Source organism: Homo sapiens, chromosome 3 (genome assembly GCF_000001405.40).
Source record: "Homo sapiens chromosome 3, GRCh38.p14 Primary Assembly".
Taxonomy (NCBI): Eukaryota; Metazoa; Chordata; class Mammalia; order Primates; family Hominidae; genus Homo; species Homo sapiens.
Genome location: NC_000003.12, coordinates 16,920,650 through 16,936,898, shown reverse-complemented (window position 1 = coordinate 16,936,898; position 16,249 = coordinate 16,920,650). Strand labels below are relative to the sequence as shown.

At 38.6% G+C, this 16,249-nt stretch overlaps 1 protein-coding gene and 1 non-coding gene across 6 annotated transcripts in view, besides 2 other annotated features; both read right to left on the bottom strand.

The window, feature by feature from the left end:
* PLCL2 (phospholipase C like 2) overlaps window positions 1-16,249 on the bottom strand; it is a 205,652-nt gene that overhangs the window by 153,708 nt on the left and 35,695 nt on the right. The window contains exon 1 of one of the 5 annotated variants that reach the window (XM_047447799.1): window positions 23-16,249. This exon is cut by the window's right edge and continues 21,662 nt beyond it. The exons of 3 other annotated variants lie outside the window; for them this stretch is intronic. In XM_047447799.1, the coding sequence (XP_047303755.1) occupies window positions 23-35 (13 nt within the window). In that variant the 5' untranslated portion in view covers window positions 36-16,249. The remainder of the gene's footprint in view (window positions 1-22) is intronic. One more of the 5 variants, NM_015184.5, reaches the window with a different exon arrangement.
* MIR3714 (microRNA 3714) lies at window positions 3,639-3,703 on the bottom strand. The gene has a single exon (NR_037465.1). It is a non-coding gene; the product is annotated as a microRNA 3714 (primary transcript).
* Window positions 8,250-8,409: an enhancer, noted in NCBI's record as "active region_19559". NCBI's record gives its function as "activates an Ori minimal core promoter by ATAC-STARR-seq in GM12878 lymphoblastoid cells {active_cell/tissue: GM12878}" and the evidence as "EXISTENCE:reporter gene assay evidence [ECO:0000049][PMID:35858748]".
* Window positions 8,470-8,719: an enhancer, noted in NCBI's record as "active region_19558". NCBI's record gives its function as "activates an Ori minimal core promoter by ATAC-STARR-seq in GM12878 lymphoblastoid cells {active_cell/tissue: GM12878}" and the evidence as "EXISTENCE:reporter gene assay evidence [ECO:0000049][PMID:35858748]".

Genomic DNA, 16,249 nt, shown 5'->3' with positions numbered 1-16,249 from the left:
AGATTGAAGGGTTAATACGTACACCTGGACAACATCAGAAAGCCTGTGCTGTCATGAAGAAAAAAAAGAATGGCTTCCAATACCCATTTTTTCCTGATCTCTGATATGCCAAGAGTAGTTGATTCCAGCCTCGTTTTTTTGAAAAAATATGGCTTAGCCTGCTGAAAAAAAAGTATTGACAAAGTTATATATTATTTTCATAGTTAATATCTACAGCCTTAAAAATATCTATGCACCCCAAAATTATCTCCCCAGGGAAACAACTTTTTGTTCTTTCAGGAATAAAATTACACTTAGATTTTCCAAAAATTCATGTAGAAAGATAAACTTTTAACATATGATGCCTGCTTGTTTGCTTTTTCTTTCTTTCTTTTTTTTTTAAACAATCTGGCAAAAACACAGAGAACAGACAAACCACAGAGTTTATCAAACAGATACACATGGCACTCTGGGTGGCCTGAAAGCCACCAAACTCCACCTCACTCTTGCAAACAGCACTTACTGGGAACCAGGGCTTCGATAAGGAGCCCATGGTCATGCTAATGTGGACAACACAGCCACCCTGAGCCAAGCACATATAAACAGTCCTATCGCCAGATTCCAGCTAAATTTCTCCTAAACAATTTAGGCAACTCCAGAATTTAAAAACAAAAAATTTCCATTAGGTACCTAAATTACTTGTAAAAGTTTTAGGAAATGTTTAGCTTGCTGCCAAATGATAAATGTCCAGGACTGTGGCATTTTATTTCCTAAGATTCCTTAAGTCATTTTGAGGCTTTGCTTTAATACTGTGGTCAAGGCTCTACAACCTTTGATCTTGTTCTGATGGCCTCAAGAGAATGGGTTGTCTTTGGATGTTCTGCCTAGAAAGGAACCTACCAACATACAAAGATTAGAGCCACCACGGACCTGAAAAGTCATTTTGATGTTAACTAGTGTTTCAAATAGGAAGGATAACATGAGCTATCAGTGAAATGCAGGTTGCACTACATAAACCATTGGCAATATTTTACAATCTGGATCCTGAACTTTCTCATGCACTCTGGATTTCAAACATTCTATTCTGAATGGGTGTTGGGAGCCATTCTTTCTTTTTTTATTTTTTAGCAATGGCACAGGTTCCCTGATGTTGCCCAGGTATAAGTATTAGTCCTTAAATCTTATCTCTCTATAATCTATCAACATATATAACATCAAATGTCCCAGAAATTCCAATATTATTACTCTCTAAAACTGCTTCTGCCACACAAATGCATAAAAATTATTTGTTACATAGACTAGGTTGTCCCGATTTTTGGTTCAGAAAAAAAAATTATTATTCCGATCAAAAAGAGATAGATTCCTACAACACATATCCGAAAATTCCGGATGAATTAAAGACCCGAAGGTAAAAAATGAAAATAAATGTGAATATTTATAAAAATCCCACTATTTATACCTCAACCTGGGGTTGAGGAAGAATTTTCTTCACACTGAACTACAGGCATAAAGCATGAACAAAATATTTTATTACATTAAAAAACTTTCTGATCAACAAAATATAAACAAAAGCATAAATAAATGAGAGAAATCCTGCAACAAATAGAAAAGACAAAGGGTTAAGCAACTAAAGAGTAATAGAGCTCTTAGAAATAAAAAAGACAAAGATAAACACCTCAGGGGGAAAATAAGCAAAGATATGAATATGTAATTTGTGGAAATATAATTAGTTGATAAGCATGAAAAAAACTTCAACTTTGCCAGTACTCACAGAAATGCAAATTAAAATAAAGAAAAGGTATGTATTTTCTTCCTATCAGATTGGTGTCAATTCAAAGCGATAATACTCAGTGAGGCTGAAGCTAGTGCCCTAATTGGTAATGGACAATTGGCGTATTAGCCTTTCTGGAGGCAATTTGACTACATTATTGAAATATTTCAAGATCTTTCCTTTGACTCAGCAAGTCTACTTCCAGGATTTGTCCAAAAGAAATAATGAGGATGGTTTCATAAAGATGCAAGAATAATATGTTAAATGCATTGCACATAATCTTTTTGTTAAAAGTGAACAACCAGAGGGCTGAGGGTCTCTGCCTCCATGCCCACGTCTCAAAATTGCTAACTCCTGTTGATTCCACTGTCTGAAGAGCTCTTCTGTGTCTACTTCTTCCTAGTTGCACTGCCATTTCCTAGTTCAGGCCACCATCACCTTTCACTTGGATTACTGCAACAGCTTCCTACATAGCATCCCATCCCTTTCCGGTTTACTCTCCACCTGGCAGGCAGGATGAGATTTTTAAACACAAATCAAATAACCTCCCACTCCTGATAAAGGTCTTCACTGGCCTCCCATAGCCTTATGTCCAACCTCCTTGACACTTATGGAGAGCTACGGTGATTCCAATGCCTGATTACCTTGCCAGTCTCCTCTCCAGACTGCCAACAGATACACTTCTGAAGCTCAAACGGGCCATGATGATCTCTGGGCATGCTGGTGTTCCCTCTCCTAGAACACAGTTCCTCACACTATTCTACCCTTTCCTAACCTATGTTCCTCACATTCTCCAGGGCTCAGCTTAGCAGGAACTTCCTTAGGGTCAATCTCTCCTGCTTCTCCAGCACTTGAGTGAAATGTAGCTCTTAGGCACCCACTGTCCACAGCATCCTGCACTTACCCAAAACCACAGCACTGGCCACATTATGTGGATTTAACTGTGGGTCATCAGTTTACAGGTGTCTCGGGTCACTTCTATCATTGCATGACCTTTTCAGAGAACACAAAAGCCTTTGCATGCCCAATATCTAGGGCTCCTTTCCTTATTCATACACCAAGACTTTTTTGTTCGTTTGTTTTTGAGACAGTCTCACTCTGTCGTTCAGGCTGGAGTGCAGTGGTGCAATCTGGGCTCACTGCAACCTCCGCCTCCTGGGTTCAAGCGATTCTCCTGCCTCCGCCTCCTGAGTAGCTGGGATTACAGGCACCCACCATCATGCCCGGCTAATTTCTGTATTTTTAGTAGAGACAGGTTTCACCATGTTGGCCAAGCTGGTCTCGAACTCCTGACCTCAGGTGATCTGCCCCCCTCAGCCTCCAAGAGAGCTGGGATTACAGACATGAGCCACCACACCTAAATATTCCTCAAGAAACTGGCTAAATAAATTACACATCTATACAATGGATGTGTACTTTACACATCCATCTACACAATGGATGTATACTACACAACCATAAGAAAAAAAATAAAACATTTACTTGGAAAACATCAGGAAATAGTGTAAGGTTAAAAAAAAAAGAAATAAAAATGCTGAACAATATTCTAGTATGCTGCTACAGTGTATGAAAAAGCAGGCATATGAATATATGTGCTGATTCATGAGTCAAATATCTCTCTGGAAGGACACTGGGAAGGGAAACTGAGTGGGTGAAGTCAAAATGGGGAGAAAGGACTTTCCCTGTATAATCTTTTACTGTTTGGCTTTGTTAGTATATTTCATATTTCAATGATAGCTTACTTTGGATTTTTGTTTAACTAAGTAGTCGTAAGCGTTTTAGACAAAACTCTTTAGAGGAGAAACACAAAGGCTAATCTTCCACCACTCCCAAAATGAAACAAAACAAACACCTTACAATTTCCAGTGCTCTTGAACAAGGCTGTGGAGAGGTGGCAGCGGTGTCTTCCCTGCCCGGTGATGGAGCACGTCACAGGGGAGCACTGCTGCCTTCTCTCTCGGGTCTGCTTTGCTCCTCTTTTGCAGTCCTTCACTCAAATTTCCTGAGCAGCAACCACTGTAAAATACTCCGGCTGTCCAATAATACTTAGGTACGTTTCATTTTCTTAGAGGCAATGTGAAACTATGACAGTTTCTTCTCACAAAGTGGTGCTGGAATCAACCTTAAAGGAAAAGCAAAACTACGAATTTCTACAGCCAAGAGTACTAACTACAAATTCTGCTTTTGTGTCCCATAATATTAGAAAATAAATGAATGGATGAACTAAAGAAAAGAAGAAGAAGGAAAAAAGAAAGAAAATCTTCTCCAACAGACTTCTCCTTTTCCTTTGACTTGGAACAGCCATCATGGCAAGACAGAGTGAGGCTGTTTCTTCTTAATCAGTACTGGGCTACAGAGTCCATCTACAACTAATAAGTTGTAATTCATGCCTTAGATCTGTTTTCCCTGCAGCTAAAAGATACGTTCAAGGGAGTAATATGCTCTGGATCTCCTGTATTTTCTAGCACTGATCAGCTACCGTGCATTATCTACCAGCATATGGCTGTAGAGAGAAGGACCTCTCCAAAAAGAGAACTGCAATGGAGAGAGAGAAAATTCAGCAGAAATCCCAAACAAAATATGGTAATTATGAAACATCTTACTTCTTGTCTTATTACCAAGATGAAAATAAATACCTCCAAACAAAACTGCTAAATTTAACTACCAAGATTTTTAAAAGTACACCCTGAATTCAATATTATCTAAGACATGGAAGAGGACTAATGGTACTCCAAAATGCTTAAGTGAGAAGAAAAAAATTCAATCTAATTGTCTTAGGAAAACATCAGATGAAATAATATGCATGTTATTCCCAAACAAAGGATGTTACTAACCTGAAATAAAGATAGATATTGAAAAGTTAGTCCTTGAGACAATGCGTATGCTAACAGCTGATACTACCTAAACCACATAGCAGAATGGTTTTCAAATCCAGGCCTAAGAAATACATATAAATTCAGATTCAACTAAAAATTAAGAGCTATCCTAATTCTGGCAGCCATAACGAATTACCATAGACTGGTAGCTTAAAACAACATAAATTTGTTTCTCACAGTTCTGAAGGCTGGAAGTGTGAGATCAGGGTGCCAGTGTGGTCGGGTTCTGGTGAGGGCCCTCTCCAGGCTGCAGATGGCCACCTTTTCCTTATATCTTCACATGGCAGAAAGACAGTGAGCTAGCTCTCTGGCCTCTTCTTATAAGGGCACTAATCCCATTCATGAGGGCTCCTCCTTCATGACCTAATTATCTCAAATCATCACACTGGGGATTGTATCTCAATGTATGAATTTTGCAGGGATACAAACATGCAATCATAAGTTTATTCTATGTCAGAACTTAGTGTCTTACCTATACAAGATGCTTTCATATCCAACATCTCATCAAGTTCTTAAAATAACCTTGTCAGGGAGGTGTTATTCTCATTGCAAGGGAGAAAACTGAACCTTAAAAAAAGAGACTTGCCTGGGGTCATTCACGTAATAAATGGCAGCAACCGAACTGGAACCTGGACCCTCAGACTCTAAGACCAATGCATGTTCTCTATAAATAATATTTGTGAGGTTTTCTTTTCTATCCCTTAAAGGCAACAGTTGTTAGTTAAACTTCATTTAGACAGAACATTGACAATGCAACCAGGTTATTCTGTCTGCTGATAAAGAAAGTCTCTATTTAAATTGTTTTTATAGGAACAGAACATTTACGTGCTTTTTTTCTAAGGGAGAGGAGAGAATGAAATGGGAAGAGAAAAAGACTAAAATGAGATCAAATACAAATAAGCATTTAATTGTTCCTCTTCTATTTCATACATCTTTTTCTAATTCAAGTCACTTAAATATAGTCAATAGCTTTTGTGCTTACATATGTGCCAGACACGGATCTAAGTACAATCTGGGTTCCTACTCTCAAAGATCTCAGAATGTAGCAGAAGAGCCAGACCTTCAAATAAAATTTTACCACAAAGTTTCATGAGCATTAGAGTTAAAAAAAAAAATAAATGGCAATCCAGAGGAAGAAGTGAATGCATCTTCCTGGGAAGGAGGTTCAGAGAGGAATGGCTTGCCAAGGATGTAGTATTTGGGCTGAGGAATGGGAACTGGCCAGCAGGAAGCATTATCTTCCAAGCAGAAGGCATTGGAGTTACAGATATGGATCCTACCCTACTACCTGCCTTTACAGAGGAAAAAATAGAAGACTGACATGCCTAGAATATCATCTTGGAAAATGGAGTAGTCAAATGTACACGGGAGTTAGCAAAACGGGAGATAAAGATGGTGCCAAGATTTCTTGCTTGTGTCATAAAGAATGTCATTAATGGACATAGGAACTCATGCAGGAGCAGCAGACTTAAGGAGAAAATCATGAATAACATTTGGGACATGCTGGAGTTCAGGTGCTTGTAGGAGAGCTCCACAAAGCATAAGAAAATAAGCGACTTGAGATTAGGAGGGATGATGGGGTTCACAGAACTGAGGAGTCATCCCTTAGGGAGTTTACAGAAGTATCACTTGTTTACTACTCTAGGTTCAATTTCTTAGAGACGAACAGAGGCTGAAGAAGGCTGTATCACAAGAAACAACTCTGATTTGTGGTAAAACCCTAGGAGTTTAAGAAAACAGTACACTACAACTCTTTCATTTATAGCAGTTCTGATCAAAACAGAGATATAATCAGCAAAGGTCCTATTCATACATTGGTTGGACTATAGATCTACAGATAGAATAAATAACAATTAGGAGACTTTCAAACACAGCTGTTCCCAATACTGGTTCTTCCCTGCAGTATTTGAGGGAGGGCCATTGTTTTCTCTCAGCCACAAGTATTTATGAACTTGGAACGCTCCCTCAAATTTGGGTGTTCTTTCATCTACTCGTGAAATCTCGCCTGTCTTTAAAATGAGGGAAACAAAAATATGAACCCATGAGGTTGCTTTCTCAAGTTAAATGGAGAAATAATAAAAAACATACTCTAACCCACATTAAATGTTTTATACTAAGAGAAAAGGGAATAAACTAGGAATCTTTACTGCAGAAGAGCACTGTTCTAGGTTCTGAGACAGAAGCCATGCCAGGCGAATTCTGGCTGCACAATACCACTCTAACTTGAAAGTCACAGGAGTCTTGTGTGTCCTTGGGCAACTCACCTCCCACGATACTTCTCCATGTCTAAAAGAGAGGCCTCTGTCTTCCCAAGACTCTCTGAGAGCCTGTGAGAAGTAACATGCAGGCCTTACTTGGAGGGTCTTGGGAGAAGTCTATAAACAAAGCCCAAAGACCTCAGGGCTACCAATTAGCACAGTATCAAAATGCATGCCAGCTATTCACTAGTTCCTTTGAATGTATGCATGCAGCACCTTCTTCATACTCAAATAGTTCCTATGTCAGGATACAGAGAGAATTCTCCTTTCTTCAAGTTTCAGAAGGACTCAACTTCCCCAGGCCTCCAAGATTTGGAGATGGTGAGAAATCCTCCTGCCCAGTACAGGAGACTGGGAAAGAGGAAAGTTTGCTATTCCTGGTCAGAAAAACAGCACATCAACGGTCAGCAGAAAAGGAGGAGATGCTGGAAGTTCTATCTGTGCACAGAGAAATCAGGAAGAGAGCCAATGGCTGCTGTTCAATAAAGTTAGATTTGGGAGGCTTTCTCTAAAAGTTAAGAATGATTGCAAAGTGAGTTGAGTATGCATTCCAAGCCAACTCCCAGAGTGTCTGATAACTTCACCAGGAAGCTCTGATTCCTGCCCGCCTTCCCAGAAGTCTTTTTGGGAAACCTCTTTTCTTGCCTTTCAGGATTTAAAAATATGTTGTCATTATGGAGAGAAGGTCAAAATGGTCCACTAAACTCTCATTTTCAGGAACCTACAAATCTTAACTCTGGTAGCCTCTATAGGCTCTGAGACAAGTCCTAGTGCAGAGCAGTTTCTTTCCTCCTCCCTGTAGCCCATTCCCTCCTCCCCTCTCTCCCACGATCCTTGGTTTCCTAGTTGTCTCTCACTCCTGTGCTTAGTATCATCATCATCATTTCTGCGCAGGTATCCTCACCGCTCAGAATTACTCTTCTCTATGCTGCGGCTGTGGTGTACGTTCAAAGCCAGCACTCAAATTCCAAGTCTCTTGTGCAGCAATCACCACCACCCCCCTGCCCAATCCCATTCACAACTAACCTTGAGAAAATTCTAAACTCACAGCCTCTACGTTTCACTTCCCACTCACTCTCAAACCATCTGTCCCTCCGCTGAAATGGATTTTTGCCAAGGTCACCCACAACCTCCAAGAAGCAAATTCATGAATGTTTCTGAGTCCTCATGTCATTTGATAATAATAAGGATAGCATCACCGAATATTTACTAAGCATTTCTTATATGCCAAGCATGGTACTCCATACTTCTCATACTTTAGCTAGGCTTCACAACAAGTAGATGAAGTAGGCTTTACAATTATACTGCTTTTATAAATTGAGCCTTTGCAAAGTAATACAACAGGTGACAAATATCACACAACCTGCAAGCTAGGCAGTTAGGATTCAAACTCTAGCTCAGCTCCAGAGCCCAGGCCCTCAACCCTGCAGGTTGCAGCTTCCTCTCTGCAGCATCAGACTGCACCCTTTGCCTGGCTCTGTACTTTCTCCTATGTCCTTCTTGGTCTCTATCTGGGGCTGCTCTTCCTCGGTGCACCCTTAAACATGGATTTCCCCAAGGTTCTACCCTAAGCTTCTCATCCCTGGAGGACTCTCATACAGTCCCTTGCCTCAATTATTATACACAGAAATGCAAAATCGGCCTCTGTAGGCATTCTACTGCCTGGTCTCCCAAACTGGTCTACCTCCACAGATGTCTCAGCTAAAACATGTACAACATGGACTCAGCTCATCTACTCAATGTGAATGAAGTGCCCATTCTGAGATGCTCTCTCAGCCTCTTGGAGGGCCTCCCTCCTAGCACTAACCACATTGTGTTGTAGTTACTGGGTCCATCTGCCTATCCTGTGTATCACCATTGCCTCCCCAGTGCCTAACATAGGAGCTAGCATGCAGTACATGCTCACACAGCAATTATGAAATTAGGTAATGCAGAGCCTTTGGCTGGTCATGTAACCTCCCTAGACCTCAATTTCCTCACCTGGAAAATGAGAGTTGGAGCACAGGAATGGGAGTATGTTCCATCCTGCAAGCTGCCTTTGAAAAACGGGCTGCTGTCAAATAAGCTGAAACATGCTGCATGTTCGCCTCTTGGCAATTCACTTTAGATATCACATTGAAAGCTCTGACAATTTTTTGCTGTTGTCTAAATAAGGGTTTCCCAAACTTATTTGACAACAGAATATTTTCCTGGAGTATCCCAGCCCCTCCAACATGAGTGGTGCTCCATGGAGTGTACACTTTGGCAAACCCCAGATCAGTGGTTCTCATTGTGTGTGGTGGGGGCGGGGGAAACAGGCAGGTAGGGGGAACCCTGCACTACTGACATCTAGTGGGTAGAGCCTACATCCTACAATGCACAGAACAGCCCCCACAACAAATAATTATCAATGCAAAATTGTCAATGGTGCCCAGGCTGAGAAACCCTGTGCTAGACCAACCTTTACAACCAAAGTCCCTTCCAGCTCTTAAACTTCTGATGCCACCAAGCCATAAAAACTTGTTCATGCCCCAGATACAGATAATGGGACATCTCATTTAGAACAAAGACTAAGCAATGATGCATTCCTTTTAAACTAACAAAAAAGGTTTGATCAGAATGTTTGCTAACCATTCTTGCCTATTGTCATATTTGTCTTCTATTGTTTATTTCATTTTTTTTTGTATTTTATTATCAATCTTTTATTTACAACACATTTGTAGCATAATATTATGGAGCAATCACTGGAAAAATATTCACTTTGGTCACTATTAAAAAATTAAAGAGAAATGTGACAGTTTACACCATATTGTGCATCAGGTGTTTTGCAAACATTCTGTGAAGGGTTTACCCAGTTCTTCCGTAAAGAATAACTTAAAGGTAGTGCTAAAAGGGATGACGATTTTGTTTAACATTTCACTTTAGCTATAAAAAAAATTAGTCTGTGTTCAAATTACATTTGCTTCAGGGAAGAAAGAAAAGAAAAATAAATTGCTTTAAATTAAATACATATCAAGGACAAAATGAATAACTAGCAAATAAATATTTTTAATTGATTTTTTTCAGCCACCCACTTCCCGTTCTTCCTTAGCCTTAAAAAAAAATGTGGCCGGGCGCGGTGGCTTACATCTGTAATCCTAGCACTTTGGGAGGCCAAGGCAGGTGGATCACAAGGTCAGGAGACCGAGACCATCCTGGCTAACACAGTGAAACCGTCTCTACTAAAAATACAAAAAATTAGCCAACCATGGTGGCGGGTGCCTGTAGTCTCAGCTACTCGGGAGGCTGAAGCAGGAGAATGGCGTGAATCCAGGAGGCAGAGCCTGCAGTGAGCCAAGATTGCACCACTGCACTCCAGCGTGGGAGACAGAGGGAGACTCTGTCTCAAAAAAAAAAAAGGTTTTGATTATAAATGATTTTGTTTGCTAGATGAAAAATCTGATCACTATATTAAAATAGGCTTTGTCTCTAAGTAGTTTCAGAGAGTATTTTAAGACATTATTTATCTTTCAAAAAATTACATTTAAATAATGACATAACAGTAATAATAATAACAATAGTTAACATTTATTTAGCACTTAGGAAATGCCAGGCAACTGTTTTGCATACATGACCTCATTCTAATACAGGAACATCTAGAGGTAGATACTGTTAATCCCACTTTACAGAGGAGGAAAATGAAGTTTTTCTTCAAGAAAAGGCATTATTCCTCAAAGTGACACTGCTAGGAAGTAGTAAAGCCAGCCCTTGCATCTGTCTGATTCTGGAGCATTTGATTATGAATAATGGGCTTTTTTTGTTTGTTTGAGAGCAACTTAAAGCTGATTAAATAGAAATGTCAATTATCATGAAGAATCAGCAAAAGACTTAATTCTGATGGGCATGGCAGTAATACTCAGAAGCTCTGGTGAGGCTGATCAAAAAAAATAATAATTTTAACTGTTTTCATGCAGACATTCTCCTTGCAAATTGTCAGCATTTGAAACATTTCATTTATAGAAGTATAAGTCAATATGGCCCACTCCTTTTCTTTGTGAACTTGAACTTGTCACCTAAAAGCAAATTGGGCTGCTTTAGAAAACAATCTCACAGTTTTTCAAAAAACTAAATATAGAGTTACCATAGAACCCATCAATTCCACTTCTAGATATATACCCAAAGAGAAATTAAAATATACATCCACACAAAAACTTGTATACTAATGATCATAGCAGCATAGTCCATAATAGCCAAAAGGTAGAAATAACTCACATGTTCTTTAACTGATGAATGGATAAACTGTGGCATATCCATACAATGGAATATTTTTCAGACATAAAAAGGAATGAAGTATTGATACATGCTGCAACATGGATGAACCTTTAAAATATTATGCTAAGTGAAAGAAGCCAGTTGGAAAAGGCCATATATTGTATGATTCCATTTATATAAAATGTTTAGGGAAGGCAAATTCAGAGAGACAGTAATTTAGTGGTTGCCAGGGACTGGGAGTAACTGTGATTGGGCAAGGTATGAAAAGAGACATGAAAGTGTTCTGCAATTAGATAGTGGTAATGGTTGCATAACTATAAATACAATAAAACTAATGGATTGTATGCCCTTAAAAAATAGATTGTATGGTATGAGAATTGCATCTCAAAAAATTAAAAACATTAGATAGCAGCAATAAAGAAAATGAGCAATAGAGCTCATGTTTATAACTTGAACTGGCTAAGATAAATATATGTGCAAACAGAATTTTGGAATTCTAAGTGTACATGCTGGTTAACCATACTGGCCTAAATCATTTTACATTAAAAAAAAAAAAAACCCTGGCCGGGCGCGGTGGCTCACGCCTGTAATCCCAGCACTTTGGGAGGCTGAGGTGGGCGGATCACGAGGTCAGGAGATTGAGACCATCCTGGCTAACATGGTGAAACCCTGTCTCTACTAAAAATACAAAAAATTAGCGGGGCATGATGGCAGGCACCTGTAGTCCCAGCTACACGGGAGGCTGAGGCAGGAGAATGGTGTGAACCCGTGAGGCAGAGGTTGCAGTGAGCCGAGATTGTGCCACTGCACTCCAGCCTGGGTGACAGAGCGAGACTCCATCTCAAAAAAAAAACAAACAAACTTGTATTCTGTAGATTTAAATTCCATACACATGGAATCAAGCTGAATAAAATCTAAAATCCTGACCTAGAGGTATACTCTAATACCTAGTAAAAATCATTGCTTTAAGACTATCGTGGTTATTTGCAATCACTGACTTATACTGAACAATGCTGGTAAACTACCCTCCATGGTGCTGCTGGAAACAGGGCAGTGGCCCTTATAGAGTGAAAGGAGAAATCTATCACTCTGCATTTTCTCTGCCAATGACCTTTAACTGGTATAGTCCAACAGAGAGTGACTGTAGGATATAGAAAAGGTTAACTTGCTAGGGCCGAGTGCATGCTCAGGAAAGACCTGAGATACCCCTAAACTCTCACCTCTGGCTGACCTCCAGGGTCTGTGCAAATAGGAAGTGAAGGCTAAGACAGAGTTGTAAACTGCTGGTTCAGTATTAAAATATGTTTCGACATATACACAGAAGCCAAGTACAAAGACTAGAGTTGTTTCTGGTATTTTGTCCCAGGTGTTTGAGGAAATTTCTGTCAATCACTAACTGACTGCTAAGCTAATGGAACAGAAGCTTCAATGGACATATATGATAAAGAATATAGACTTTATAAAATTAGTATAGAAATGTCACTAACCAAATCAAAAACAACAACTACAATAAGCAGCAACAAACCCTGGGGAGTGGGGGAAATCTCATTTCCAGAGTTGCCACATTATAATATTAAAAATTACAGTTTTCAACAAAACTACATGGTATGCAAAGGGATGAAGTATTGCCCATACACAGGAAAAAAGGCAACTAGTAAAAACTGCCTGAGGAAACCCACACATTGGATGTACTAATCAAAGATTTTTAATCAACCATGTTAAATACACTCAAAGAGCTAAAGGGAATCGTGCACAAAGAACTAAAGGAAATCATGAGAATGATGTCTTACCAAACAGAGAAGATCAACAAATAGATCAAAATGACTTTTTAAAGGGAGCCAAACAGAAATTCTGGAGTTGAGAAGTATAATAACTTAAAAGAAAATTTCACTAGAAGGGCTCAACAGCAGAAGGAATCAGCAAACTTGAAGATAGGTCACTTGAGATTACCCAATCTGAGGAGCAGAAAGAAAAAGAAATGAAGGAAAATGAGTAGTCTAAGAAACTGGTAGGACACCATTAATTATGCCAATATATGCATAATAGGAGTTCCACAATGAAAGGAGAGGAAGGCACAGAAAGAATATTTGAAGAAATAATGGCTGAAAACTCCCCAAATCTGATGACAAATGAAAAATAATGTTTAATTAAGGGTGGTACTAACAGAAGTGGTTATGTGAGTGTATGAAGGTCAAATGAACCAAGCCCCATGCCCCCAGGTGTTTCTGACACAAGAAGAGTGAAAGTCTGAAAGAATAGAATTCCTTATCAATAAAAGTCCATTGAGAGGTGGGCGCTGTGCTAAAGACCCTGAAGAGGGCAAGAGGAAATGGCAGGCAGAAATCCAAGCCTCTGCCTGTGCAACCCTGGCCACTCTCACTGGTCTTCAGCCTTCTGCTGTCATTGCTCTCTTGCTCCTTTTGCAGCTGTGCTGCAACCTCCCTCGTCTTCCCCTCTCCTCACTGCTAGATCACCTGATGTGATACCTGCCCTCCAGCTAACCAGCTGCCTGCCCCCACCTCCACTCTCAAATCACCAGGGTGGTGAACAGCCACTGTTATGGACTGAGCTCTCCCTTATCCCTCCAACAGGAGACAAAAGACTGAGACCCCTACCCTAGATGTTGTAGAGTCTGAGTCACTCTGGTCAGGTATTCCAACACAAATCACATTTTAATGGCTGGTTGGTGGTTGTGGGGGAGCCGAGCTTATTTTGACACTTAAAAATATTTTATTATACTTAGTGATCTTTTAAATTCATTCTTAGAAAGAGGTTGCTATATTTTAAATATGTATTATAGAGGGGTTATTGTTTTCTCAAATGAATCCTTTTTTTCACCTTTACAGTAAGTATTGATAGGGAAATCAAGGTTTCATATGCACTATTTTGCCTTCAGAAGCTTTTCTGTTTCTCCAAGGTATTAATGGATGCCTTGATGGAGGGTGGGTGAGGGAAGGGTTGTCTTTTATTAAACCCTGTACTTTACCCTCTTTTGAGGTGGTATATTTAGCTGTCTCTAACATTATTTTTTTCTTAATATATTTTTTCTTAATAATATTTTTATTTTTATTACTATGGGCTAGGAAAGTATTCTATGCCCATTCACAGGTAGAGTTTCATTTGCTCATTCCCAATTATGATATTTGGTACAATACTGACAGAAATATCCCATACAGGATATCTTCAACAGCACCTAATATTGTTTCTAAGCCCTCTGTTAAAAATGCATACATGCATAGGAAGAGTATAAATGCATACATGCATAGGAAGAGTACAAATGCATACATGCATAGGAAGACATATTTCCCTAATTTGGCCTCCTCCATAGCTATATATGGTGGAATTACGAGATCTTAGGAATGATTTCTTTTGAGAAAGGAAGTAATCTTTCATGAGAGTTGAGACACAATGCATCAAAGAAAGTTCCATCCAGTTAGAAAAGCATGAAGTGATTTTAAATCTTTAAAGTTACCAATTTTAGACCTTTATAAAATTTCAGAATTGTTTTAAAGCTTTGAGGGAGGTAATATGCTTAAAATAGGTTTGACTTAGCATTCCTATTAAAACTCTAAATCAGAGTGCTGAATTCTGAATACTGAAATTCTTCCTGAATAAGTTTTAACATAACAAAAACTGCAGAGCCAAATTCTTCTAGCAGTAAAGATTCTGCTTCATACGAATTTTAAAAGTTCATAACTATTAAAAAGTATAAATTTTCCTCCTACCCTGACATAGATTAAAAATAGCTTTTGTTGTATCACATTCTTTTTAAATAGTTGCATGCAACTTTTTTCTCTCTTTTTTTGCTCTGCTAAAAATATGTATAACTCAACCAACCTACTAAAATCAAAGAATCTTTAATTTTCTTTTTCCCATAGCTTCCAGTTTCTTGGATGAGATTTTTCCATACAGTTATCTTAATATTTCCTGTGTCCTTACTTAAAGAACAGTTCAATCTGGACCCTTCACAATCAAATTCTTTCTTGATGATTGCCTGATTAATAGAAAGGTGGTGGTTATAAAGATCATGTTAAAATGATTTACACCTGTCTTCAGAAAAAAATTCTGCACTGGTATATGAAAATAAATTAGTGATATTCTGGGAATTTAGAATCTTGTTCCCTCAAAGTCTGCCATACTTCTATTTCACATTGTTGCAATATACAGGGAGCAGTACATCTCCTGTTTTTCTCATTCACATCCTCACCTAGCTTTTGAAGAATGCTGAAGGTCTGTTGAAATAAGATCCCCTTTTAGGAAAATCCAGATACTGTTTTCCTCAAAAGATTATTCTCAGCTCATGTGTTCAATAATCTTACCCTTTCCTAGATACTCTATCAGCTTGCCAAGAATGGATGTGAGATTCACCAATTCACACTTTCTCAAAGTGTCTGGAGCAAGTAAGTCACATTTCCAATACATCAGACCGCCCCAATCCCTTGGTCACGATATTGAAAGCTTTCTTATATGATGAAACAGATGATTAAATTAAAACTAAAATAATCTACTTGACACTAATTATTTGAAAGACTCTTTTCAAAGGCAACCTTATTCTGGAACAGTCCATTTTAAAAATATATGACTAAAATATCTGACTAGCTCTCTCCCTACCATGTAGCATGTATTTGTTGCTATAAACACACTTAAGAAGCTGAGAGCTTTGCTCCATGCCCTTAGGAAAACTTACCATATGAGCTAGGCCCACAAATAAAATAAAACTTGTAATGTTTAAAGATGCTTTTCAGTCAAAATGTTAAGCACCTTTTCAAAAAATGGCCTTAATCTGTTTTGTTCATCTGCATAAAATTCCTAATTCAAACTTTCATTGAAATGAGAAATAATTTTAATGGCCATTACCACACCAAACTTCCTTTAAAGGACAAAAATAAAGGAAAGCTATAAATGTGGAATTACCAAAACACATTTATAGATTATGATTTGGTGCGAGAAATTAGTATTCAAACTGTTTTCTTGTATTCTCACGTAGTAGTGGTTGTAATACAGTGGTTATCAATCCAATAAAATCCTATTTATTCACAGTATTTGAGGAACTGAGTGGCCTATGGTTAAATGAGAAGAAAATATAGTTTTAAAATGAATTAAAACACCATACAAGCATTTTCACTCCTGCATTC